The sequence below is a fragment of the Homo sapiens genome, chromosome 4 (assembly GCF_000001405.40).
Source record: "Homo sapiens chromosome 4, GRCh38.p14 Primary Assembly".
Classification (NCBI taxonomy): Eukaryota; Metazoa; Chordata; class Mammalia; order Primates; family Hominidae; genus Homo; species Homo sapiens.
This window is the reverse complement of record NC_000004.12, coordinates 86897980-86924396: the sequence shown is the minus strand read 5'-3', so window position 1 is coordinate 86924396 and position 26417 is coordinate 86897980. Positions and strand designations below refer to the sequence as shown.

Genomic DNA, 26417 nt, shown 5'->3' with positions numbered 1-26417 from the left:
AAACCCCATCTGTACTAAAAATACAAAAAATTAGCCAGGTGTGCCGATGCACGTCTGTAATCCCAGCTACTTGTGAGGCTGAGGGAGGAGAATCGCTTGAACCCAGGAGGCAGAGGTTGCAGTGAGCTGAGATCACACCACTGCACTCCAATCTGTGTGACAGAGTGAGACTCTGTTTCAAAAAAAGAAACAACCACATGTGGTGGCATGCGCCTATGGTCACAGATACTTGGGAGGCTTAGGTTGGAGGATGGCTTGGACCTGGGAAGTTGAGGCTGCAGCAAGCTATGATTGTGCCACTGCACTCCAACCTAGGCAACAGAGTGAGACCCTGTCTCAAAAGAAAAAAGAGAGAGGGAGCAATATCAGAAGGTATCAAACATGTAAGTAAAATCCAAATAAAAGAACCAAAGAAAAGAGAAATAGAAACTATTTCAATTACAACTCAGAACTAAATTCCTAGAAAATATTAATATGACATGAAAGCATGCTAATATATTTATTTTGCACGAGTAATAATATGGATTTGACAACTTTAAAATAGGGAGAAAATAAATAAGCTTATGGTGTTATCAATCAGGAGACAGAAATTATACCAATAATTTATCAGGAATTTTTTTTTTTTTTTTTTTTGAGACAGAGTCTCACTCTTGTTGCCCAGGCTGGAGTGCAATGGTGCGATCTCAGATCACTACAACCTCTGCAGCTCTGGTTCAAAGTCATTCTCCTGCCTCAGCCTCCCAAGTAGCTGGGATTACAGGTGCCTGCCACCACCACATGTGGCTAATATTTTGTATTTTTAGTAGAGACAGGGTTTCACCACATTGGCCAGGCTGGTCTCAAACTCCCGACCTCAGGTGATCCACCCGCCTTGGCCTCCCAAAGTGCTGGGCTTACAGGCATGAGCCACTGCACCCAGCAGGAAAAATTTAATATAAAGGTTACTAACTAATAAAACATGGTTAACTATTAAGACAGATAAAGGATAACTCTAAAGAATACCAGAACCTGGGCACAAGGGCTCATGCCTGTAATTCCAGCACTTTAGGAGGCCAAGGTAGGAGGATCACTTGAGCCCAGGTGTTCAAGAACAGCTTAGGCAACATAGTGAGACCCCATCTCTACAAAAAATTAAAAAACAGCCAGGCATAGTGGTACATACCTGTAGTCTCAGCTCCTCAGGAGGCTGAGGTTAGAGGATAGTTTGAACCTAGGAGGTTGAGGCTGCAGTGAATCATGATTGTATCACTGCACTCCAGCTTGGGTAACAGAGTGAGACCGTTTCTAAAAATTAAAAAAAAAAAAAAAAGGCAGCTGGATGCAGTGGCTAGCACCTGTAATCCCAGCTACTTGGGAGGCTGAGGCAGGAGGATCACTTGAGGTCAGGAGTTGGAGACCATCCTGGGCAACTTAGCAAGATCCCTATCTCTTAAAAAAAAAAAAAAAAGGAAGAAGAAGAAAAAGCAAATGTAAACAGCATGACTACCTCTAAGGCTGAGGGAGAACATCCAAGGGAGTAACAGACTTGGAAGAGATCTCAACCCTGAGGCTAAAATTCAGACCCCCTTGGAGAGGACGGGGCTGTAGCTAGATGGCAGAGAAATTATATGTGTAAATGACAGAGGAATTCACTGGAGTGCTGCAGATAGAGGTGGTGGTGCAGCTGCAGGTGGGGATGGTGAGCTGGAAGCCATCTACTGGGGTGAGGTGGAAGCTTATTGGAGAGTGAGTGCCAATGGAACTCCATAGGTGACACCATAAGAACAAAATCTACAACAAGGAGATCTAGGAAGGGCAGCTACTGCCTCTCTGCTATGCCTGCAGTGTCTCTCTAGTGCCCTCTGCTGATAAGCCTAACATTGCACCAGCTGGCAAATGAGAAATGTTCATGGGATCCAGATCCAGATCAGTTAACTCCAAACAAGAAAAAGAAAGATTGCTTTGGACTAAGGAGCAATAAATTGATAACTGGCACAGTGTTACCCTCCCTTTTTTGTTTTTGTTTTTCCATTCACGGCTATACTGTCAATATCCATTCATGCTCTATATGTATGATTATTGGACATTCTATTTTTATACACTCCCTGGTTTTCTTTTCCTTTCATTGTTTTGGGGCTATTTTATAGCTCTGAAAGTTGTAGAAAACTAATAACAATGTAAAAGATTTTTAGTTCATAGAAATGAAAATTATTTGTGTCTGGTGGAATATAGTAGATTAACCACCCTGTGGTTAGACCATTTTCCATCTTTTAAATAAATGCATTCTAGCATTCCTTGTTGCCTATTTATGTGTGTTTTTTTGAATTATCCTTTGATCTAGTTGTAACATCTTACTGGTTCCCTCATTAATTAATGAGGTAAATAAAACCTATCACACATATTCATTTTGTATTTGTATGTGAGTTATAATTCACCTTCTAAAAAATTATACTTGAAATAAGACAATCACAAAATGGCAAATATTGTATGATTCCACTTGTATGAGGTGCCTGGCATAGTCAGATTCATACAGACAGAAAGTAGAACAGTGGTTGTCAGGGCCTGGAGGGCAGGAAGGAAAGAATGCGGAGTTATTGCTTAATGGGTACAGGATTTCAGTTTGGGAGGATGAAAATGTTCTAGAGATGGGTGGTGGTGATGGTTGCACAACAATATGAATGTACTTCATGCCAATGAACTGTACACTTAAAAATGATTAAAATGATAAATTTTACATTATGCATATTTTACTATAATTTTAAAAATTAAAATTAAAAAATTTTAATACTGAGTTTATTAATTGCTTTTCAAATTCAGTCACAGTTTACTAAATATTCTGTTAGCTAAAGTCTAAATTGTAAAGTTAACCTCCAACAACTTGTATATTAAATCATGGGGGAAAAAAGAAAATGGCTAACATTTAAAAATAAACATACATATTACAAGCAAAGAGAAAATATGTAGCCAACCTACTACAGCCCTGTTTTTTAACTGATGACGAGACCATGGTTGATATTTATGACCTTCTGCTACCTACTCTGTATTCCCTTTGCCCTCAGCCAGAAGCTCAGCTGGTCAGGTGTCTTAGTGGAGTGACCAAGCTTTCATTTCTAAATTGTCTGAGTCTTAATATTCCAGCCTCTATTTTTTTGTGTGTGTGACAGTTTTCTGTTAATATTTTTTCTTGGGCATTGATATGGTTTAAATTTGTCCTCCAAAGTTTGTATGTTGAAAACTTTTTTTTTTTTTTTTGAGAAGGAGTTTCACTCTTGTTGCCTAGGCTAGAGTGCAATGGTGTGATCTCGGCTCACCACAGCCTCCACCTCCAAGATTCAAGTGATTATCCTGCCTCAGCCTCTGGAGTAGCTGGGATTACAGGCATGTGCCACCATGCCCGGTTAATTTTGTATTTTTAGTAGAGACGGGGTATCTCCATGTTGGTCAGGCTGGTCTGGAACTCCCAACCTCAGGAGTGATCCACCTGCCTTGGCGTGCTGGGATTATAGATGTGAGCCACCCCGGCCCCACAAAGTGCTGGGATTATAGACGTGAGCCACCATGCCCGGCCATATATTGGAAACTTAATCCCCAATACAACAGTACTATGTTAAAAGGTAGGACTTTTAAGAGGTGATTAGGTAATGGGAACTCTACCCTCATGAATGGATTAATGTTGTTATCAAAGGAGTGTGTTAGTTATTGAGGGAGTGGTTTGGTTATAGAAGTGAATTTGTTCCCCTTTTGCTCTTGAGCATGCTCTCTAGCCCTGGGATGCCTTCCACCATGTTGTGATGCAGCAAGAAGGCCCTCACCAGATGAAGGCTCACAATCTTTGACTTCCCAGCCTCCAGAACTGCAAGCTAAATAATTTCTTCTGTTTACAAATGATCTAGTTTGTGGCATTCTATTATAACAGCACAAAATGGATTAAGACAAAAAAATTGGTACCAAGATTGGAGTTGTTGCTATAGTAAATACTTGAAAATGCGGAAGTAGCTTTGGAACTGGGTAATGGGTAGAGGCTAAAAAGATCTGGAGCAGCAGGCTAGAAAAAGACTAGATTGCTGTAAATGGAGTATTAAGGGTGATTCTGGTGAGGGCTCAGAAGAAGAAGAGAGCTGCAGGGAAGGGCTGAGACTAATTATAGATTACTTAAGTGACCATGATTAGAATATTGGTGGAAATATAGACAGTAGAGGCCAATCTGATGAGGTCTTACATGGAAAAGAGGAATACCTTCTTGGAAACCGGAGTAAAGGCCATCCCTGTTATGAAATGGCAAAGAACTTGGCTGAGTTGTGTTCATGCCCTAGACTTTACAGAAGGCAGAATTTAAGAGTGATAAGCTAGGATATCTGATGGAAGAGCTTTTTTCTTGCTGTTGTTTTTAAGACAGGATCTTGCTCTGTCACCCAGGCTGGAATGCAGTGGTGTGATCATAGCTCATTGCAGCCTCAAACTCCTGGGCTTAAGCAATTCTCCCAGCTCAGCCTCCTGAGTAGCTGGGATGCTACTCCCCCACTCTCAGCTAATTTTTAAATTTTTTGTAGAGACAGGGTCTCACTTTGCTGCCCAGGCTTGTTTTGAACTCCTGGGCTCAACTGAACTCCCTGCCTTGGCTTCCTAAAGTACAGGCATTAGAGTTGTTAGCCACCACACCCAGCTGGGTAAAACAAATTTCTAAGAAAAATATTTTTAGGATCTGTGTGGCTACTTTTAACCACATACAGTAAGATATAAGAGGAAATAAATGACTTAAGATGGAATTCATAATTTAAAAAGAAGCAGAATGGGGCCGGGCGCAGTAGCTCATGCCTGTAATCCGAGCACTTTGGGAGGCTGAGGCAGGCAGATCACTTGAGGTCAGGACTTCAAGACCAGCCTGGCCAACATGGTGAAACCCCATCTCTACTAAAAATACAAAAAAATTAGCCAAGACTGGTGGTGCATGCCTGCGATCCCAGCTACTCAGGAGGCTGAGGCAGGAGAATCACTTGAACCCAGGAGGTAGAGGTTGCAGTTAGTCAAAATCATGCCACTGCACTCCAGCCTGGGTGACAGAGCAAGACTCCTCCTCAAAAAAAAAAAAAAAAAAAAAAAAAGGGGGAAAAAAGCAGAATGGAAAGATTTGAAAATTTTCAGCCTGGTCATGTAAAAAATGAAAAAGTGTGTTCAAGAGTTCAAGAGAGAATACTAAGGATATGGCCAAGTGACCATTTTTGCTAAGGAGTTTAGTACGTATAGAATAAAAAAGGAGAGAAAAGGATTTCTCTCTCTCTCTCTCTCTCTCTCTCTCTCCTGGAGCTGGGATACTCTCCTCCTCCTGTCCTTGGACATCAGAATTCCAGGCTCTCTGACTATGGGACTCCAGGACTTACACCAATGCCCCCAGGTTCTCAGGCCTTTGGCCTTGGACTGAGTATTACACCATCAGCTTCCCTGGCTCTGAGGATTTTGAACTTGGACTGAGTCACACTACCAGCATCTCAGGGTCTCCAGCTTGCAGATGGCCTGTCATGGGATTTCTCAGTCTCCATAATCATGTGAGCCAATTCCTCTAATAAATCTCCCCATATCACGTGCACACACACACACACACACACACACGCACACACAACACACAGTTGGTTCTGTCTCTCTGGAGAACCCTGACTAATACAGGCATGGAAGTATTAAGAGATGTCCCAGGAAATCCCCTGGGTTCCATACATAGTTCTGTTTGTCCTCGTGGTTTAGCAGTAACCTAAGTTCCCCTTTGGTAGTTGGGATCAATCACTAGCAGTATAGAAACCACTTATTCTACCTGTTGATTTGTGACATAAGCAGCCCAAGATGGTCAGGTGTTATCCTCATCTTCCAATGTAGTGGACTAGACACATAGTTGTATTTCTAATGGAAACATTTCTCCCTTGAGAACAAAAACTTTCACATCAGCAAGTCTTAGAGTTGCCAGGATAGGAAGAAACATTTTATAAGTGGGTTATTTGATACAGTAGTGAAAGGAGCCACTCTCACTCATACTCCTTGATTCCTGGACTCTTGTTCTGGCTGTGGAGGAGATGGCACTACATCACGGTCTCTGATTCAAAGCATATACTGCATCTTCCAAGTCAGAATCCGATCTTTAAAAGTGTGGTTTCACATCTGGCACTGCTGTGGTCTAAATGTTTATGTCCCCCCCAAAATTCATATGTTGAAATCCTTACCCCCAAGGTGATAGTATTTGGAAGTGGGGCCTTTGGGAGATGATTAGGTCAGGAGGGCATAGCCCTCATGAATGGGATTAGTGCCCTTAAAAATAAAAAAAGGACTGAGAGAGACCTGTCACCCCTTCTGCCATGTGACATTAGAGTGAAAAGAAGGCTGTCTATCCAGAAGAGACATCTCACCAGACACAGAAATGGATGGTACCTTGATCTTGCATTGCATAATGACATATTGGTCAATGACGGATGGTCCCATGTGATTACAGTAGAGTTGAAAAATTCCTATACCTACTGATAGTGCAACACATTATCTTTTCTATGTTTATACAAATACTTATCATTTCAACTGCCAATAGTATTCAGTACAGTAACATGCTGTAAAGGTTTGTAGCCTAGGAGGAGTAGGTTATCTCACATGGCCTAGGGGCGTAGGAGGCTATACCATCTAGGTTTGTGTAAGCACAGTCTAAGATGTTCACAGTGACAAAATCAGCTAACAACACACTTCTTAGAAGGTATTCTTGTTTTTATGTGATACATGACTAAATTCCTTCTTTCCTTCCTTCCTCCTTCCTTTCTCTTTCTCTTCTTCCCTCCCTCCCTTCCTCCCTCCTTCTTTCCCTTCCCTTCTCCTTCCTCCCTCCCTCACTCTCTCTTCCTTCCTTACTTTTCTTTCTCTTTCTCTCTCTTTTCTTTCTTCTTTTTCTCTTTCTTTCTCTCCCTTTCTTTTTCTTTATTTCTTTCTTTTCTTTCTTTCTTTTTCTCTTTCTCTCCCTTTCTTTTTCTTTCTCTCTCTCTTCCTCTCTTTCTCTCTCCTTCCTTCCTTCCTTTCCTTCCTTCCTTCCATCCTTTCCTTCCTTCCTTCCATCCTTCCTTCCTTCATCTCTCTCTCTCTCTCTTCCTTTCTTTATTTCTGTCTTTCCTCTTTTTTGAAGACAGGGTCTGATTCTGCTGCCCCGGGTGCAGTGAAGTGGCATGATCATAGCTCACTGCAGCCTCGAATTCCTGGGCTCAAGGGATTCATTCACCTCAACCTCCTGAATAGCTAGGGCTGCAGGCACACGCCACCAAGCCCAGCTAATTTTGTTATTTTTTTTGTAGAAATGGTGTCTTACTATGTTGCCCAGGCTGGTCTCGAACTCCTGGCCTTAAGAAATCTTCCCACCTTGGCCTCCCAGTGTTGGGATTGTAGGCTTGAGCCATCACACCCAGCTGTGATTGTAAATTTCTCTTGTTTATAACCACCTAGTCCATAGTATTTTCTTACTGGAGCTCAAACAGACTAAGACAGGCAGCATAAATGAGTTTTCAGTAAGCAATTTTGCCTTTAAGTTAGGGGAGCCACTTCTAGATGATGCAGTATCCGCATTCTATAGACATGAGTTCACTGCTGTATTCCCATTACCATGAAATGAGTTTCTTGAGCAGAAGCAGTGCTCTGTGGAATACCATGATGGTGGACAAGGTATTCTATGAGTCTGTGGAGGTTCTGGCAGAATCATTATGAATAGAAAAGGCATTTATACCCAGAATATGTGTCAATTCTAATGAGAATGAATTTCTGCCCTCTCAGTAATGGAAGAGTTCCAGTATAATCAGCCTGCTACCAGACAGCTGCTAATCATATGGCAATGGTGCCATATCAGGGGTCAGTGTTGGCATCTGCTGTTGGCAGATAAGGTGCTCAGCAATAGTGTCAGCCTGGCTAATCTTGATTAGGAGCTTCAGGAGAAGCTGTTGTTGAGTCCATGTCTAGCCTCCATTCCTGCCATCATGACCACTTTATTCATGTGCCCATTGAGTAAACATTAAGTGTCCGGAAAAAGTTTTTTTTTTTTTTTTTTTTGCATCCACATAGTATGTCATTTTGTCCTTTTGGTTATTCAGAGCATCCTCTGCTGTGAATTTCCCTTGATGAGCATTCACATAGACACACGTCTTTGTAGTCTATGTCCTTTCCAAGAGGTGCATCAACATACCTATTCCCCATACTTCTTTGTCACCAGTGTTTCAATCTTCTTCCTTTCTTGACCATCCAACCAAATTCTTAGCAACTGCACATAAATCAATGGAAGTACATACTTCTGTCCTCTTGTTCCAGACAAAGTAGATGTATTACTTTCCTAGGGCTGCTGTAACAAATGACCACAAACCAAGTGCCTTAAAGCAACAGAAATGTATTGTCTCATAGTTCTGGAGGCCAGAAGTCTGAAAGCAAAATGTCATCAGGCCATGCTGTCTCTCAAGCCTCTAGGGGAGAATTGTTCATTCCCTCTTCCTAGCTTCCGGTGGTTGCTGGCACTCCCTGGTGTTCCTTAGCTTGTAGACATATCACTGCAACCTCTGTCTCCATCATCACATGGCATTTTCCTTGTATATCTGAGTCCAAATTTCCCTCTTCTTTTTTATTTATTGTTTTCTTTTGAGACGGAGTTTCAGTCTTGTTGCCCAGGCTGGAGTGTAATGGTACAATCTTGGCTCACCGCAACCTCCGTCTCCTGGGTTCAAGTGATTCTCCTGCCTCAGCCTCCCAAGTAGCTGGGATTACAGGCATGCACCACCATGTCCAGCTAATTTTGTATTTTTAGTAGAGATGGGGTTTCTTTCTCCATGTTGATCAGGCTGGTCTTGAACTCCCAACCTCAGGTGATCCACCCCCCTCGGCCTCCCAAAGTGCTGGGATTACAGGCGTGAATCACCGTGCCCAGCCTTCCCTCCTTTAAGTACATCAGTCATTGAATTAAGGCCCACCCTAAAGCCATATGACTTCATCTTAACTTGATTACATCTGCCATGACTCTATTTCTGAATAATCACATTCACAGGTTTTGGGTGGACATGGAAGTAGCCTGATGTGAAGAGTCAGAACCTAAGGGGATTAGGAGGATATCCATTCATGGAAATGGCCCAGCACTGGTGCTGGAGCCCAAGAAAGGAGAGGAAGTCATCCATACATGGGAGCAACCTGGTGTGGGGAGTCAGAACTGGAGTGGGTGATGGAGGGTGCTTATACAGGGGGGCAGCTCAGAGAACACAAGAGCACAAATGGCATGGGAGGGCTTTCACCCACGAGCCTACGGTGGCCTAGTATTGCATATCAGAATACAATGGGGTGAGGAGGATGTTTGCATGGGGAGGGAATGAAAGAGGTGATGGGAGGTTGGTCATATACAGGAAGATTAATATATTCAGGTAAACTAATATGTCAAAGATAATGAGGGTCAGGTTTCTCACTGTCAGAAAAGGGATTAAAGTATAGAAATAGAGAAAATTAGTCATCGGTCCCCGTGGTGGGCCTGTTTGCATTGACTGCCCAGAGTCCATGAATCCTCCACTCCAAGCCCGTCCGGACTCCCCCGACCCCAGCTTTCTCTCCTTTGAAAACACTAAGAATAATGTCACTGCACCAGTTTTTATTAGAGCCAATCACCTATCGTGCCTGGAACAGGGATCATACCCAGATTGCCCTCAGTTCCAATAATCACCAAGTGCACATCTATAAGAAGAACGGAGCCGGGCGCTGTGGCTCACGCCTATAATTCCAGCACTTTGAGAGGCCTCGGCAGGTGGATCACGAGATCAGGAGTTCAAGACCAGCCTGGCCAAGATGGTGAAACCCCATCTCTACTAAAAATACAAAAATTAGCCAGGCATGGTGTGGCGGGCGCCTGTAATCCCAGCTACCCGGGAGGCTGAGGCAGGAGAATTGCTGGTACCCAAGAGGTGGAGGTTGCAGTGAGCTGAGATCGTGCCACTGCACTCCAGCCTGGGCGATAGAGCCAGACTCTGTCTCAAAAAAAAAAAAAAAAAAAAAAAAAAAGGAAGAAGAAGAACGGGAGCCGGGGGGTGAAAGCTCATGAACTCAAGGAGCACAACGGACATATCACAGGTATTGACTGGGCTCCCAAGAGCGACCGCATCGTCACTTGTGGGGCAGACCACAATGCCTATGTCTGGAGTCAGAAAGATGGTGTCTGTAAGCCAACCCTGGTGATCCTGAGAATTAACTGTGCAGCTACTTTTGTGAAGTAGTCCCCACTAGGGAACAAATTTGCTGTGGGAAGTGGAGCACGATTCATTTCTGTTTGTTACTTTGAGTCTGAAAATGACTGGTGGGTGAGCAAGCACATTAAAAAGCCAATTCGCTCCACAGTCCTCAGCTTGGATTGCCATCCCAACGACGTTTTGCTGGCAGCAGGATCATGTGACTTCAAATGCAGACTGTTTTCTGCCTACATTAAAGAAGTGGATGACAGCTACTCGGGAGGCTGAGGCAGGAGAATGGCGTGAGCCCGGGAGAGTTCGTAGTGAGCCGAGATCGTGCCACTGCACTCCAGCCTGGGTGACAGAGCGAGACTCCGTCTCAAAAAAAAAAAAAAAAAAAAAGTGGATGAAAAGCCAGTCAGTATGCACTGGGGCAGCAAGATGCCCTTTGGGCAGCTGATGTCAGAGTTAGGTGGCAGTGGCACTGGTGGCTGGGTCCACAGGGTCAGCTTCTCTGCCAGTGGGAGCCGCCTGGCCTGGGTCAGCCACAACAGCACCATGTCTGTTGCTGATGCCTCAAAAAGTGTGCAGGTCTCACACAGAGTTCCTGCTGCTCCTAAGTGTTTCATTTGTCTCAGAGAACAGAGTGGTGGCTGCTGGCCATGACTGCTGCCCAACGCTCTTTTCGATGACCGAGGCTGCCTGACCTTCATCTCCAGGTTGGACGTTCCAAAACAGAGCATCCAACGCAACATGTCTGTCATGAATGCTTTTGCAACATGGACAAGAGGGCCACGACTGAGGACCGCAACACGGTGTTGGAGATGCTGCACCCGAATAGCATCACTCAAGTCTCTATTTATGAGGTGGGCAAGCAAGATTGTCGCAAATTTTGCACTACTGACATCGGTGGAGCCATGACAATTTAGGATTTCAAGACTCTCGAGTCTTCCATCCAGGGCCTCTGGATGTGAAGCTGAGTGAGCTTCCGCCATCCAGCACAACAAACTGTGGAAGATCACAGCTGTGCTGTGGCACGATGGCAAGGAAGCCAGCCCCAAGGAAACACTGAGAACATATATCACGCCAATACCATGTGGTTTTGTTTGAATATAAAATTGGTTAAAGTGTTGGTTTTTTAAAAGCAGTACTTTTTTTTTTTTATTGCGACTTCATTCCATTTTTGACCAAAGCTTCTTTAAGCAGTTTATTATGGAAAATTGTGACACTAACTTAAAAGACAGTGTGAGGGAGATATGTAAATTGCCCAGTGGAAAATTAAATTAAAAACTGAATGTGGTTTTGAAAAAAAAAAAAGAAAAGCGAAAACTAGAATGAACCTTGTGGATGGATTAGAATTGGAAGCACTGGAGTGACCTAATGGTCTTTAATATATTAAGATAGATATAAATGTAAACATGTGTACACACATTTACATATATGTTTTCATGTCCATATTCATACACATTTATATGTATACACTCATATACATATCTATATGCTCATGTGTGTGTGTATACATGCACAAACACATGCATTGGTTAGTTCAATCCCCTGAAAGGACCTGGGAGTATTGACATCTCAATAGCAATAGCAAAACCATACCGAAATATTGCTTTCTAAATACCATTTTGAGAGCAGGCAGAGCAGTTGGCTCATGGATATATAGGCAGGCATTGACTATCAGGAGACCTATTAATTCCAGGGAGGCAGAAGGTGCAGCTACTTACAGTAAGAACACAGGAACTTGTAGTGATTCAAGGACCAAGCTTTGGGTCCAGACTAAAAGAGGGTTTGATCCCAGTTTTGGATTTACTAGCTAAATGATGTATGGGCAATAGGTTCCTTAACATTTTTGAGTCTCAGTTTCTCCAAATGGGATATTATAAGAATAAAAAGAGACAATCGGCTGGGCACAGTGGCTCATGACTGTAATTCCGACACTTTGGGAGGCCGAGGCAGGAGGATCACTTGAGGCCAGGAGTTTAAGACCAGCCTGGGCAATGTAGTGAGACTCTGTTTTGTTTGTTTGTTTGTTTTTGTTTTTTTAAATGGCTGAGTGCAGTGGCTCACGCCTGTAATCCCAGCACTTTGGGAGGCTGAGGTGGGTGGATCACCTGCGGTCAGGAGTTCGAGGCCAGCCTGACCAACATGGAGAAACTTCGTCTCTACTAAAAATACAAAACAAACAAACAAAAAATTATCTGGGTGTGGTGGCACATGCCTGTAATCCCAGCTACTTGGGAGGCTGAGGCAGGAGAATCACTTGAACCCAGGAGGCAGAGGTTGCAGTGAGCCAAGATCACGCCATTGCACTCCAGCCTGGGCAACAAAAAGCAAAACTCCGTCTCAAAAAAACATTTTTTTTTTCTAAATAGCCAGGCATGATAGTGCATGCCTGTGGTCCCAGCTGCTTGGAAGGCTGAGGTGGGAGGATCACTTGAGCCCAGAAGGTTAAGGCTGCAGTGAGCCATGATTGTGCCACTGCACTCCAGCCTGGGCACAGAGCAAAACCCTGTCTCTAAAAAAGAAAAGAGAGAGACAGAGAGACAGACAGACAGACAAAGAATGTAAGTAAATATCTGGCATGTTGTGAGCACTCAGTATTCTCACCTGGAACACCAGGAAGGCATGCTGCAGCAGCAAAACTCATCAAAGAAATAAGAAAAAACCCTCAGCAAGCTTTCCAAAATCTTCATCTGAGCTCAGAAGGCCAGAGACTTGGTAGAGTTCCAGGGGATTTCCAGTCCCATATACCAGCCATGAAATTAAGATGCAGCCCTTTTATGTTAATTAAGCCTAGTAATACAATTTGAGGTAGCAGATCTGTCTGATCTGTGTGTTGGATATTCCCAAGAGTGGGGGTGTAGGATGAGAGGAATTATGCCAATCTGATTTTATTCCACAAAACTAATAAGCAGGGGAAATTCCTATGAAAAGGCTGGGATCTCACCACTGTTCAAAAAAGAGCCAGTGTAAGTCTCCTCCATCCCGGACAGTGCTTACATCCAACCTGTCACCAAGCCTTCTGCCTCCACTTCCCCACAGCTGTTCTGTTTCTCTGCATTTCAAAGGACATACCTTGGTTTCAGCCCTCAATTCTGACTTGGTTATTTCATGCAAAACTTTTTTTCTTTTTTGTTTTTGAGATGGAGTCTCACTCTGTCGCCAGGCTGGAGTGCAGTGGCATGATCTTGGCCCACTACAACTTCTGCCTCCCAGGTTCAAGCAATCCTCCTGCCTCAGCCCCCTGAGTAGCTGGGACTACAGGTGCAAGCCACCACGCTCAGCTATTTTTTTTTTTTAGCTATTTTTTTTGTATCTTTAGTACAGCAGGGGTTTCACCATGTTGGCCAGGATGGTCTTGATCTCTTGACCTCGTGATCCACCCGCCTCGGCCTCCCGAAGTGCTGGGATTACAGACATGAGCCACTGTGCCCGGCCTCATGCAAAACTTTCTAACTTGACTTCCTGCCCCTAGCTTTTATGTCCTCTAAACCATTCTCCGTCTTGCCATGGACCGATTTCCCTTTTTCTAAGCATAAATCTGGTTATGCCACAGCACACTGACTCCTCAAATCCTGTTTCTTCCAGGATCAACTTCACACTTCTTAGATGGCATTCGATGACCTCCTAACAAATAATCTGCTACAACCAATAGAGGTCAGTCACACCCTGTCCCTTGGGATGATATTTTCACATTTCTACCTAAGCACTTTCCCTAGGTCTTCCTTCTTTCTCCGTTTTGCAAAAGATTGTTACTTTTTATATTCTGCCATTAAAAACATTTTAATTTTTTAATTTTTAATTTTTTTTGAGACAGAGTCTTGCGCTGTTGCCCAGGATGGAGTGCAATGGTGCGATCTCAGCTCACTGCAAACTCCACCTCCCGGGTTCAAGTGATTCTCCTGCCTCAGCCTCCTGAGTAGCTGGGATTACAGGTGCAAGCCACCACACCTGGCTAATTTTGTGTTGTTAGTAGAGACGCAAACTCCTGGTCTCAAGTGATCTGCCCGCCTTGGCCTCCGAAAGTGCTGGGATTACAGGCATGAGGAACCACACCCAGCTTCATCTTGTGTTTTGAAGAACAGAAAAATTCAGCTTGCAGGCAGAAGGGGCAAGTGCACAGAGAGAAGCAGAAATGAAATGCAGTGGGGTGCTCCTTCTACTTCTTTATTTCAGTCTCTGCCTGAGGGCTGGCTGCATTCCTGTGCTTGTGTCCAATGAGATAAGCCAGTATCTTTATTATAAATCCCACTTTCAGTTTAAATTAGTTCCCTAGAAGTTCCGCTATTTTTAACCAAATAACCTTTTTTTTTTTTTTTTTTTTTTTTAAGTCTTCCTCTGTTGCCCAGGCACCTGGCTCCAAATCACCTTAATTTAAGGAATTACGCTCAATCTTTCTGGGCGAAGAGCTTGTGACTTTATCATGTGGCTCAGTGTATCGCTAGGTTTTATTTACTGTAAGTCTTGCAGAGAATCTGGCACAGTTGGGCAGGGGATTTGAGGTGTTGTAAGCAAGGACTGATAGAAGGGTGTGTAGTTGGTTCATACAGAGTTTAGTAGGATGTTTCACTTTCACGAGGCTTATAGTAAGCATTAATAAATATTTGAACAGAGGAGTATTCCATACCTCATAAATCTAAATCTGATAAAAAATTAGAATTTAAAGTGATTGTTAATAGCTATCGTGTCGCACTGAGATATAGAAATTCAGTGATCATCCTTAATTGTTGCGCCTGTGGTCACTGTATTGGGTATCAGCCATATATTTATTTACCAGCTGACTTCTACCTTCCTGCAGCCGGTTTGCTGTTTGTTATGTAGGAAAATTCTAGTGCTGACACAGGAGACCACTCAAAGAAGCTTTTGAGAAGTTGCAAACGGCTTGGGACCTGAACAAGCACTTTTGCTTAGAATCTTTACTTTGATTTTGACACCTTCAGCCAAGTGTTGGTGTCTTGAGAATTCTCTTTCATCACTTCTTGACCCAGCTCCTCATATGTAATGGTGTTAGCTTGGCTAAGTTGGAACTATAGTTCCCAGAATCCCCTTCCCTGAATAATTTGTGTTAAAAGTTAGAAAAAGAGGAGCCTGCATGAGATATGGGTCATGGGAGATAGATGTGAACCAGCAGCCATTCTATGGGAGAAGGACACAGAGAGATTGGCATATCCCAACTTGTCCCACTCCCCACCACATTGAGAGACAGGTAAAGGTGGGGGTGAGTTCCATATGTCCTTGCTGTCTGCTCCACACCAAGTACAAGCACTTCCTCCCAAGTACAAGCCCTGATCACTAAGAGGGATCCCGCTGAGTTTCCACTTGGACAGCTGGAAGCCTGGCTTCTCACACTGGAACTTGCCCACCTGTGCCAGGAGGGCTGGTTAGTGACTTTTCTTTGATCTTCCGACGTCTGAGAATTCAGACCCTGAATTCTCCAGATTCTACAACAATAGTGGGTAGTAGTCATGTCTTGTTTGCTATCCCAGAAGTTATCACAGCTTCTAGCATATAATTAATTCTCAATAAACATTTACTAAATAAATGATCTTCAGGAGGGAGGGAGGGAGAGAGAGAGAGTAAGGTTGAGGAGGGGGAGGGAGGGGGAGAGAGAGAGAGAGAGAGTGTAAGTGTACTTCTCTTATTGAAGTGGCCCAGATGGTGGAAATTCTCTTCTGCACACTTTTGGCTAAGAGGAAAAGGTGCTTTCCAATCTCATATTACTTACTTTTAAAAATAATTCCACAAGGCACATTCCAAAAAAAAAAAAAAGACACTGTTGAAATAGAGAAACGAAAGTAGCTTGCTTGCTTAAGATCCCAGGGCAAGAGAGGAAGTAAACCAAAATAGAACTTGTAGTTACGTTTTCCTTAAGTATAACTCAAATCTACTCAGCAGTTCACTCAATTTTATCTCCCTCCCTTTATCAAACCCACTTTCTTTCATCATCACTTCTTCTGCCCCTACCCATAAACACACATATATGCTCATCCAAACACCAGCAACGTGTGTGTGTGTGTGTGTGTGTGTGTGTGTGTGTGTGTGTGTGTGTGTGTATGTTGAAAGTATAGTTCTCCAAAGGGGAATACATTCAAAACAATTCAACAGATACTTATTGAGCATCTATGTGTAAGAAAAATTGTGCTCTCTGCAGGCAAAGCAAGGATGAGTAGGGAGCAAATGTGTTGTGGCCCTCCCACTGGAGAAACTTTATACAAATTATTTGATGTGACACCATTTCTTTTTTTCTCTTTTTTTTTTTTTTCTGAGGCACAGTCACCCAGGCTGGAGTGCAGTGGCATGATCTCGGCTCACTGCAACCTCTGCTCCTCGGGTCAAGCAATTCTCCTGCCTCAGCCTCCTGAGCAGCTGGGATTACAGGCGTGCGCTACCATGCCTGGCTAATTTTTTGTATTTTTAGGATAGATGGGGTTTTGTCATGTTGGTCTCGAACTCCTGGCCTCAAGTGATCCACCCGCCTTGGCCTCCCAAAGTGCTAGGATTACAGGTGTGAGGCACCACACCTGGCCTGATGTGATACCATTCTTGGTTATTACCAAACTCCTGTCCTTAAACAGTGCCCTGTCTCTTTTTCATTCCTCCCTTGAGTCTTTGTGTTGTGTTTCCTCATGAAAATACCCCCAAAGTAGCTTAATGAGATTTAGCAGAAACAGATCTTCCAGGTCATGGCCCATTCAAGACAACATTTTTTTCAACTTCTATTTTAAGTTCAGGGGTTCATGTGTAGGATGTGAAGGTTTGTTACATGTGTCATGGGGGTTTGGTACACAGATTATTTCATCACCCTGCTATTAAGCCTAGTATCCATTATATCTAGTTATAATATTTTTCCTGATCCCCTCCCTCCTCTCCAAGAGAACATTTTATTATTCCCTAGGCAGGTGGTTCTTAACATTTGCCAGTAAACTTTTAACTGGGAAGCCTCTTTAAAATGCAGAATCCTGGGCTCCACTCCCTATCGCCCTTTTCCCTACTAAAATTCAGGATGTCTAGGAAATTTGTATTTTTCACAAGACTCTAAGTGATCATCTCACACCAGTGGTCTCTGGGCCACTCTTGGAGAAATGTCTAAAAACATCTGACAGAGAATCACCTTAAACACTTACTTGTAAAAAGCTGATTCTTTTTTTAAATTTTTATTTTAATATTTATTTATTTATTTTTGAGATGGAGTCTTGCTCTGTCACCAAGGCAGGAGTGCAGTGGTGCAATCTTGGCTCACTGCAACCTCCGCCCCCTGGGTTCAAGCAATTCTCCTGCCTCAGCCTCCCTAGTAGTTGGGATTACAGGTGTGCACTACCATGCCTGGCTAATTTTTGTATTTTTAGTAGAGATGGGGTTTTGCCATGTTGGCCAGGCTGGCCTCAAATTCCTGACCTCAAGTGATCTGCCTGCCTTGGCCTCCCAAAGTGCTGGGATTACAGGTGTGAGGCACCGTGCCCAGCCAATTCTTTTTTTTTTTTTTTTTTTTTTTTGAGACCGTCTTGCTGTGTTGCCCAGGCTGGAGTGTAGCGATGCGATCTCAACTCCCTGCAACCTTCACCTCCTCCCCAGTTCAAGCAATTCTCATGCCTCAGCCTCCCAAGAAGCTGGGATTACAGACATGCACCACCACACCCAGCTAATTTTTGTGTTTTTGGTAGAGATTAGGTTTTGCCATGTTGCCCAGGCTGGTCTCGAACTCCGGGCCTCAAGCAATCTGCCTGCCTTGGCCTCCCAAAATGCTGAGATTACAGGCCTAAGCCACCATGCCTGGCCTAAAAAGCTGATTCTTGATCCCTGGCCCATACTATCTGAATCCGAATATTTGAGGTCAGAGCCTGGTAATATGCATTTTAACGTCATTCCCCACTTAATTCTTATGGATTCCAGAGAGCTTCCTCTGAGAAGTATTGTTCAATCTACTCTACATTAAAGGCCATAAAAGCTCTCTGTAGAGAGAAATAGAAACATGCAGGGCCCTCCTCTTTAATAAACATTGATTTTAAAATCCTTCCTAATCATTAGAATTTGTTCCCAGTTTATTGCGGATCTGAGCATATCCCGGGAAATGGCTGAGTTCTGAAGGTCAGTGGCCCTTATGCCCTCTGAGGTAGTCAGGATTACTGATGGGCCCATCCCACCTAGCCCCGGTTTGCTGACTAATCATCTTCAGGTTCATCAAACAGGAATCAGAACCTCAGGGCCAGGAGCGGTGGCTCACGTGGGTAATCCCAGCACTTTGGGAAGCCAAGGTAGGTGGATAACTTGAGGTCAGGAGTTCAAGACTAGTCTGGCCAATATGGTGAAACCCTGTCTCTACTAAAAATACAAATAGAAAAGTCAGCTGGGCGTGATGGTGGGTGCCTGTAATCCCAGGTACTCGGGAGGCTGAGGCAGAATTGCTTGAACCTTGGAGACAGAGGTTGCAGTGAGCCAAGATTGTGCCATTGCACTCCAGCCTGGGCAACAGAGCGAGACTATGTCTCAAAAAAAAAGAAAAAAAAAAAAAAAGGACCTCAGAAGCCTAAGTGGTGTTCAGAACCATCTTCCTGGATAATGGGGACTGTGGTTTTTCTGGGGCCAACCTCAGATCACCACTTGTCTTCCCAACTCTACCCCAAAACTCTGTCTAACATTTCATACCAGATGCAAGGTTTCTTTTCTTCCTTGAGACAGGATCTTGCTCTGTCACCCAAGCTAGAGTGCAATGGTGCCATCATAGCTCTCTGCAGCCTTAATCTCTGGGGCTCAAGCAATCCTCCCACCTCAGCCTCCCAAGTACCTGGGACTACAGGCACGCAACTGCCACATCTGGCTATTTTATTTATTTATTTATTTATTTCGAGATGGAGTCTCTGTTGCCCAGGCTGGAGTGCAGTGGTGTGATCTCGGCTCACTGCAACTTCCACTTCCCGGGTTCAAGTGATTCTCCTGCCTCAGCTTCCTGAGTAGCAAGGACGACAGGCATGTGCCACCATGCCTAGCTACCTTTTTTTTTTTTTTGTATTTTTAGTAGAGACAGAATTTCACCATGTTGACCAGGCTGGTCTCAAACTCCTGACCTCAAATGATCCGCCTGCCTCGGCTTCCCAAAGTGCTGGGATTGCAGGCATGAGCCACTGTGCCCAGCCTAATTTTAAAATATTTTAGTAGAGACGGGGTCTCATTATGTTGCCTAGACTGGTCTCGAACTCCTGGGCTCAAGCCATCCGCCCACCTCAGCCTCTCAAAATGTTGGGATTACAGGCGTGAGTTACCGCAACCGCCCCTCATTTAGTCTTAATTACCTCCTTAAAGGCCTTATCTTCAAATATAATTACATTAGGGGTTAGGGCTTCAACGAATGAATTTTGAGGGGGCACAATTCAGTCCTTAACAGCAGCTACGTGTGGCATGTTGCTGCTTTGTAGCTTCTCTTTTGGAGAATTATGAACTCCAAGTGTACTTTTCGAATCTGTAATCATTGAACTTACAATTATTATTATTATTATTTAGAGATGCGGCCTTTTTATGCGGCCCAGGCTGACCTTGAACTCCGGGGCTCAATCAATTCTCCTGCCTCAGCCTTTTGAGTAGGCGGGACTACAGGTGTACACCACTGCTGCCAGCTTACAACTTTTTTTTTTTTTTTTTTTTTTTTTGAGACAGAGTCTTGCTCTGTCGCCAGGCTGGAGTGCAGTGGCGCGATCTTGGCTCACTGCAACCTCCCCCTCCGAGGTTCAAGCGATTACCCTGCCTCAGCCTCCTGAGTTGCTGGTGAGAGGTGACAACGTGTTACCAGCCCTCGCTCACTCTCCGCGCCTCCTCGGCCTTGGCGTCCGCTCTGGTCGCACTCGAGGAGCCCTTCAGCCCGCCGCTGCGCTATGAGGGCCCCTCTCTGGGGCTGGCCGAGGCCGGAGCCGGCTCCCTGTGCTCGCGGGGAAGTGTGAAGAGAAACGCGCGGGCGGAGCCAGGGCTGCGCAAGGCGCTCGCTAGCCGGCGCGGGTTCCGGGTGGGCGCAGGCTCGGCTGGCCCCGCACTGGGCGCGGCGGCCGGTTCCTGCTGGGCTTGATCTCGGGATGAGCTCCTTCTGGGCTACCGGAGTGCCCAGGCTGGGTGACGCAAAGTCCCGGCGAGTGCCAGCGTGCCAGTGAGAGGTGAAGCTGGCTGGGCTTCTGGGATGGGTGGGGACTTGGAGAACTTTTCAGCCTAGCTAAAGGATTGTAAATGCACCAGTCAGCACTCTGTGTCTAGCTAGAGGTTTGTGAACGCACCAATCAGCGCTCTGTGTCTAGCTAAAGGTTTGTAAACGCACCAATCAGCGCTCTGTGTCTAGCTAGTCAGTGGGGACTTGGAGAAATTTTGTGTCTAGCTAAGTAATTGTAAATGCACCAATCACCACTCTGTCTAGCTCAAGGTTTATAAACGCACCAATCAGCACCCTGTCAAAACGGACCCATCAGCTCTCTGTAAAATGGGCCAATCAGCTCTCTGTAAAATGGACCAATCAGCAGGATGTGGGTAGGGTCAGATAAGGGAATAAAGGCAGGCCACCAGAGCAAGCAGCGGCAACTTGCTTGGGTTGTCTTCGATGGTATGGGAGCTTTGTTCTTTTGATCTTTGGAATAAATGTTGTTGCTGCTTTCTCTTTGGGCCTGCGCCACCTTTAGGAGCTGTAACACTCACCATGAAGGTCTGCAGCTTCACTCCTGAAGCCAGCGAGACCACGAACCTACTGGAAGGAATGAACAATTCCAGATGCGCTGCTTTTAAGAGCTGTGACATTCACCATAAGGGTCTGTGGCTTCATTCAGCGAGACCAAGAACCGACTGATTACGGGGACACTGGGTCTACAGGTGTGCACCACCACACCCAGCTAATTTTTATATTTTTTAGTAGATAGGGGGTTTCATCATGTTGTCCAGGATGGTCTCGATCTCTTGACCTCGTGATCCACCGGCCTCGGCCTCCCAAAGTGCTAGGATTACAGGCGTGAGCCAAGCCACCGGGCCTGGCCACTTACAACATTTTTATAAACAATATTTTAAAGCAATAAATCTCCCTTTCCTCATGGAAGAAATGTGAAAATTCTTGAGGCTTCCTTTTCTTGTGAAAATAGCACACAAGGAAAGATGCATAAACATAAATGTACAGTTTAACAAATAATGAGAAGGCAATTATCTCTAAAGCTGCTAACCAGGTTAAGAAATAGAACACTGCCTGCAAGTCAGAAGCCACCATGTACCTTCCAAATCACAGCCCCCTCTCTCCCTTCAAAGGTAACCACTGTCTTGTCTTTCATGATATTCACTGTTCTTTATTTTTTTTTATTACACTGTTTGGCATACAGGGTCCTCAGTGAAAGAAATAAAGATTCCATATGATTACGGAGCTCAAATTCTAACAATAGATGATGATCAAAACAATAAACATAATAAACTATAGGATGTTAGAAGGTGATAAGTGCTGAAATAGATTAGAGCAGGGTAAGGGGGTTGTCAGCACAGGTGTCAGAAGCAGCAGTTTTGAAAAGGGTACTTGGCAAAGCCTTGACGGAGGTGGGCAAGTTATCTGGATGTTTGGAAGATGGATGTTGCAGGTAGTAGGAACAGCTAAGGTAAAGGCAGGTGGTGGTGTATTAGTTTCCCAAGGTACCACGCTGGGGGATTCACAATGGAAATTTGTTCTCTCCCAGTCCTGGAGGCTATAAGTCTGAAATCAAGGTGTCAGCAGTATTGGTGCTTTTTTGGAGGCTCTGAAGAGAGTCTGTTCATTCCCTTTTTTTTCTTTCTTTCTTTCTTTTTTTTTTTTTTTTTTTTTTTTGAGAGTCTCATTCTGTTGCCCAGGTTGGAGTTGCAGTGGCACGATCATAGCTCACTGCAGCCTTGATCTTCTGGGCTCAAGAGATCCCCCTGCCTCAGCCTTCTGAGTAGCTGGGAACAGGTGCATACCACCATGCCCAGCTAATTTTTAATTTTTTTGTAAAAGAGATGGGGTTTCACTACGTTGCCCAGGCTGGTCTTGAATTCCTGAGCTCAAACAATCCTTTCGCTTTGGCCTCCCAAAGTGCTGAGATTACAGGCATGAGCCACCACACCTGGAGTAATTCCTTATTTCTTTTACCTTCTGATCCTTGTGAGCAACCCCTAGCATTCCTTGGCTTGTGGACACATTGCTCCAGGCTCGCCTCTATGGTCACATGGTGTTCTTTCTGTGTATCTATATGTGTCATAAGTACACTAGAGATTAGATTTAGGGCCTATTCTAAACCTGATTAGATGAGGTCACCTGCAAAGTTGGCCTGATTAGATGGTCATTTGCAAAGACCCTATTTTTAAACAAGGTCACATTCACATGTATAGCATGTATAGGGAGTTAGGACTTCAACATATCTTTTTAGGGGACACAATTCAACCCATAGCAGGTGGGAGTATGCTGGGCAGGCTTAAGAAAGAGCACGAAGGTCATGGAGGGAAAAGCAGAGCAAGCAAATGAAGATTGGTATGAGTGGAGGTTATAAAAGCTGTGTGTGGCCGGGCGCGGTTGCTCACGCCTGTAATCCCAGCACTTTGGGAGGCCGAGGCGGGCAGATCACGAGGTCAGGAAATCGAGACCATCCTGGCTAACATGGTGAAACCCCATCTCTACTAAAAATACAAAAAAAAAATTAGCCGGGTGCGGTGGCGGGTGCCTGTAGTCCCAGCTACTTGGGAGGCTGAGGCAGGAAAACAGTGTGAACCTGAGAGGTGGAGCTTGCAGTGAGCCGAGATCGCGCCACTGGACTCCAGCCTGGGCGACAGATAGAGACTCCGTCTCAAAAAATAAAAAATAAATAAATAAAAATAAATAAAAGCTGTGTGTGTGAGTGTGAGTGAGAGAGACAGAGAGAAGAGATCAGATATGATCTGTGGGTCACTGTGAGGACTTCGGTTGTTTTCTCTGAATGAAAAGAGAACCATTGGCCGGGCTCAGTGGCTTATGCCTGTATTCCCAGCACTTTGGGAGGCCGAGGCAGGTGGCTCACTTGAAGTCAGTTCGAGACCAGCCTGGCCAACATGGTGAAACCCCATCTGTACTAAAAATACAAAAATTAGCCGGGTGTGGTGGCATGTGCCTGTAACCCCAGCTACTTGGGAGGCTGAAGCGCGAGAATCACTTGAACCCAGGAGACAGAGGTTGTGGTGAGCCGAGATTGCACTGCTGCACTCCAGCCTGGGTGACAGGGCAAGATTCCATGTCAAAAAAAAAAAAAAAAAGGAACCACTGCAGGATTTGAGCAGACAGACATGATCTGGCTTACAATTTGAACAGCTCACTCTGCTGTGTTGAGGAAAATTGTAATGTCCAAGATTTACCTGTCTGTTGCTAGGATATCTAGCATCAGATACATAGCTTGTCAGAGGTGGTGCAGGGATCCAAACCCAGGCAGTTTGGTAGCAGGGCCCATGCATCTGACTCCCTCACTGTGCTGTTAGCTATGGCATGCCTTTATCCTGGTGTTGAAGTCCAGCCTGATTTCAGGCATCATGGGCGGGCAGCTTCTCTACTCTCCCTGCTTCTTCGACTCACCAGCTTTAGATTCCAAAACCATGGAGGGAGCCAAGGTCAGGGCAAGAGTGTGTGTCTTAACCAACCTGGCCAGAGAAAGAGGGGTCTGGCCTTTTTGTAATGCACATGGTCTTTGCTCTTGCATTTCTGTGTCCTAATCTTGTTTTATAAGAACACCAGTCATATTGGATTAGGACCCACCCCTGTGACCTTATTTTACCCTAATTACCTCTTTGAAAGGCCCTATCTTCAAATAAAGTCACAGTCTGAGATACTGGGGTTTAGGATCTCAACACATTAATTTTGGGGACCAGGGATACAAATCTCCCAGTAACAGGAACCATCTTAGAATTCTGCCTACTGCCAGGTGCGGTGGCTCACTCCTGTAATCCCAGCAATTTGGGAGGCTGAGGTGGGTGGATCATTTGAGGTCAGGAGTTCAAGACCAGCCTGGCCAACATGGTGAAACCCTGTCTCTACTAAAAATACAAAAATTAGCCAGGTGTGGCAGGCGCCTGTAGTCCCAGCTACACGGGAGGCTGAGGGAGGAGAGTTGCTTGAACCCAGGAGGCGGAGGTTGCAGTGAGCTGAAATTGTGCCACTGCACTCCAGCCTGGGCGGCAGAGTGAGACTCAGTCTCAGAAAAAAAAAAAAAGCTGCCTATCACACCTACATTTTGGCTAGAGTTGTAAGACCAGTACTAGTTTTTAATGAAACTTACTACAAAGTCATTAATTGTCACACTCTGCTTGTGGGGTTTCAAGTCTTCTTTTAAAGACTCACACTTTGCAAAATGTAAAGCATTTTCTGGAATTTGAAGTATTATTCTGAACATGTCCAGTTTCATGAAATTTTATTTATTTGAGACAGGGGCTCGCTCTATTTCCCATGCTGGACTGCAGAGGCACTATCTTGGCTCACAGCAACTTCTGTCTCTCAGGCTCAAGTGATCTTCCCACCTCAGCCTCCTGAGTAGCTGGGACTACAGGCAGGCACCACCATGTTTGGCTAATATGTATATATTTTTAGATTTTCTGTAGAGACAAGGTCTCATATTTCCCAGGCAGGTCTCAAACTCCTGGACTTCAGCAATCTGTCCACCACTGCCTCTTGAAAGTGCTGGGATCACAGGAGTGAGCCACTGTGCCTGGCACTGCCTGAAATTTAGAATGGAATACCAGATTTAGAAACTGAGTAGACTCTATAAGACTACTTAAATACATTTTAGAGACTTTCCTTAACATTGGGATAGACGTAAGCTTGTTCTGGCATTATTTTAATTTTTAAATGTTATTATTTTATTTATTTTGTCTTTCTTTCTACAACTCTTGGTTCTGTGGGGATTTCTGGCATTATTTTATCTCTTTTTTCATTTCTCAAATGTGCAATATATAATTAAAAGCACAGAGATTGCAATGTCTACTAATGAACTGCAGGGGTGTCCTTTGACTTATTGTTGGTACTTTGAAACTAAGAAGCTGAGAAAGAATTAATAATTTGTTTTAGAGGAGCGAGCAGACAAAAAAAAATTGAGTAAAATCCTCAGACAGATTTATCATTAGGAGGTCAGTGCTTCAGCGAGAGAAGTTCTGTATTTATTTTTGAGACAGGGTCTCACTCTCAGTCTGTTGACCAGGTACAGTGGCACAATCGTGGCTCACTGCAGCCTTGACCTCCTGGGCTCAAGTGATCCTCCCACCTCAGTCTCCCAAAGTGCTGGGATTACAGGTATGAGCCACTGTGCCTGGCAGGTTCAGATTTCTTGAATTTCGTGATTAGACTTTCTATCAGAGCACTCGGCCTCTTGTTCTGGCCTCCATTTCCTCAGGAAGAGTTCAGTTGAATGGGATTTTAAATTTTTATTTTTACTTTTAGAGACAGGGACTTGCTATGTTGCCCAGGCTGAAGGGCAGTGGCTGTTCACAGGTGCGATCATAGAGCACCACCTCCTGGAACTCCTGGGCTCAAACAATTCTCTCGCCTCAGTCTGCTGAGTAGTGGGGATTATAGGTGTTCCATTTATAATATATTTTAAAAGCCAATAAAATGTGACTCAAAAATAATATTTATAATTAGAGATCTTATCTCAGTTTTCTAATTTCTCCTAGTTTCAAACTAATGATATACTCTTTTTATTCTTTTAATTATTTATTTAAAAAAATAGAGAAGGGTTTTACCATGTTGCCCAGCCTGGTCTCGAACTCCTGGGCTCAAGCCATCTGCCCACGTTGGCCTCCCAAAGTGCTGGGATTACAGGTGTGAGCCCCAGCACCTGGCCCAATGATATATTTTTATTTATTTAGAGACAGATACTTGCTCTGTCACCCAGACTGGGGGCCAGTGGCATGATCTCGGCTCACTGCAACCTCTGCCTCCTGGGCTCAAGCGATTCTTGTGTCTCAGCTTCCCAAGTAGCTGGGACTACAGGCACGTGCCATCACACCTGGCTAATTTTTGTATTTTTAGTAGAGACGGGGTTTCACCATGTTGGCCAGGCTGGTCTTGATCCCCTGGCCTCAAGTGATCTACCCACCTTGGCTTCCTAATGTGCTGGGATTACAGGCGTGAGCCACTTTGGCTGGCCTCTGTGATATACTTTTAAAGCAACATTATAAGTCAGCATGAAATTGAAACTTCAATTGAACTGAAGCAGGTAAATCCTTTGCTTTAATTAGTACTTTATAGGGTGACGTTGTAACAGCCTAAAGGTCTCA

General features: G+C 44.4%; 1 protein-coding gene and 1 pseudogene across 7 annotated transcripts in view, besides 1 other annotated feature; both read left to right on the top strand.

Moving 5' to 3' along the window:
* C4orf36 (chromosome 4 open reading frame 36) overlaps nucleotides 1–26417 on the top strand; it is a 60000-nt gene that overhangs the window by 11808 nt on the left and 21775 nt on the right. The window contains exon 3 of one of the 7 annotated variants that reach the window (NM_001414640.1): nucleotides 13764–13832. The exons of the other annotated variants lie outside the window; for them this stretch is intronic. The gene's annotated coding sequence lies outside the window, so the exon portion shown is untranslated. The remainder of the gene's footprint in view (nucleotides 1–13763; nucleotides 13833–26417) is intronic. 7 annotated transcript variants of the gene reach the window in all.
* Nucleotides 8910–9409: an enhancer, noted in NCBI's record as "H3K27ac hESC enhancer chr4:87836141-87836640 (GRCh37/hg19 assembly coordinates)". NCBI's record gives its function as "activates a minimal SCP1, AML or CMV promoter by ChIP-STARR-seq in primed H9 embryonic stem cells {active_cell/tissue: H9 hESC(primed)}" and the evidence as "EXISTENCE:reporter gene assay evidence [ECO:0000049][PMID:30033119]".
* On the top strand, nucleotides 9480–11469 carry ARPC1AP4 (ARPC1A pseudogene 4; annotated as a pseudogene).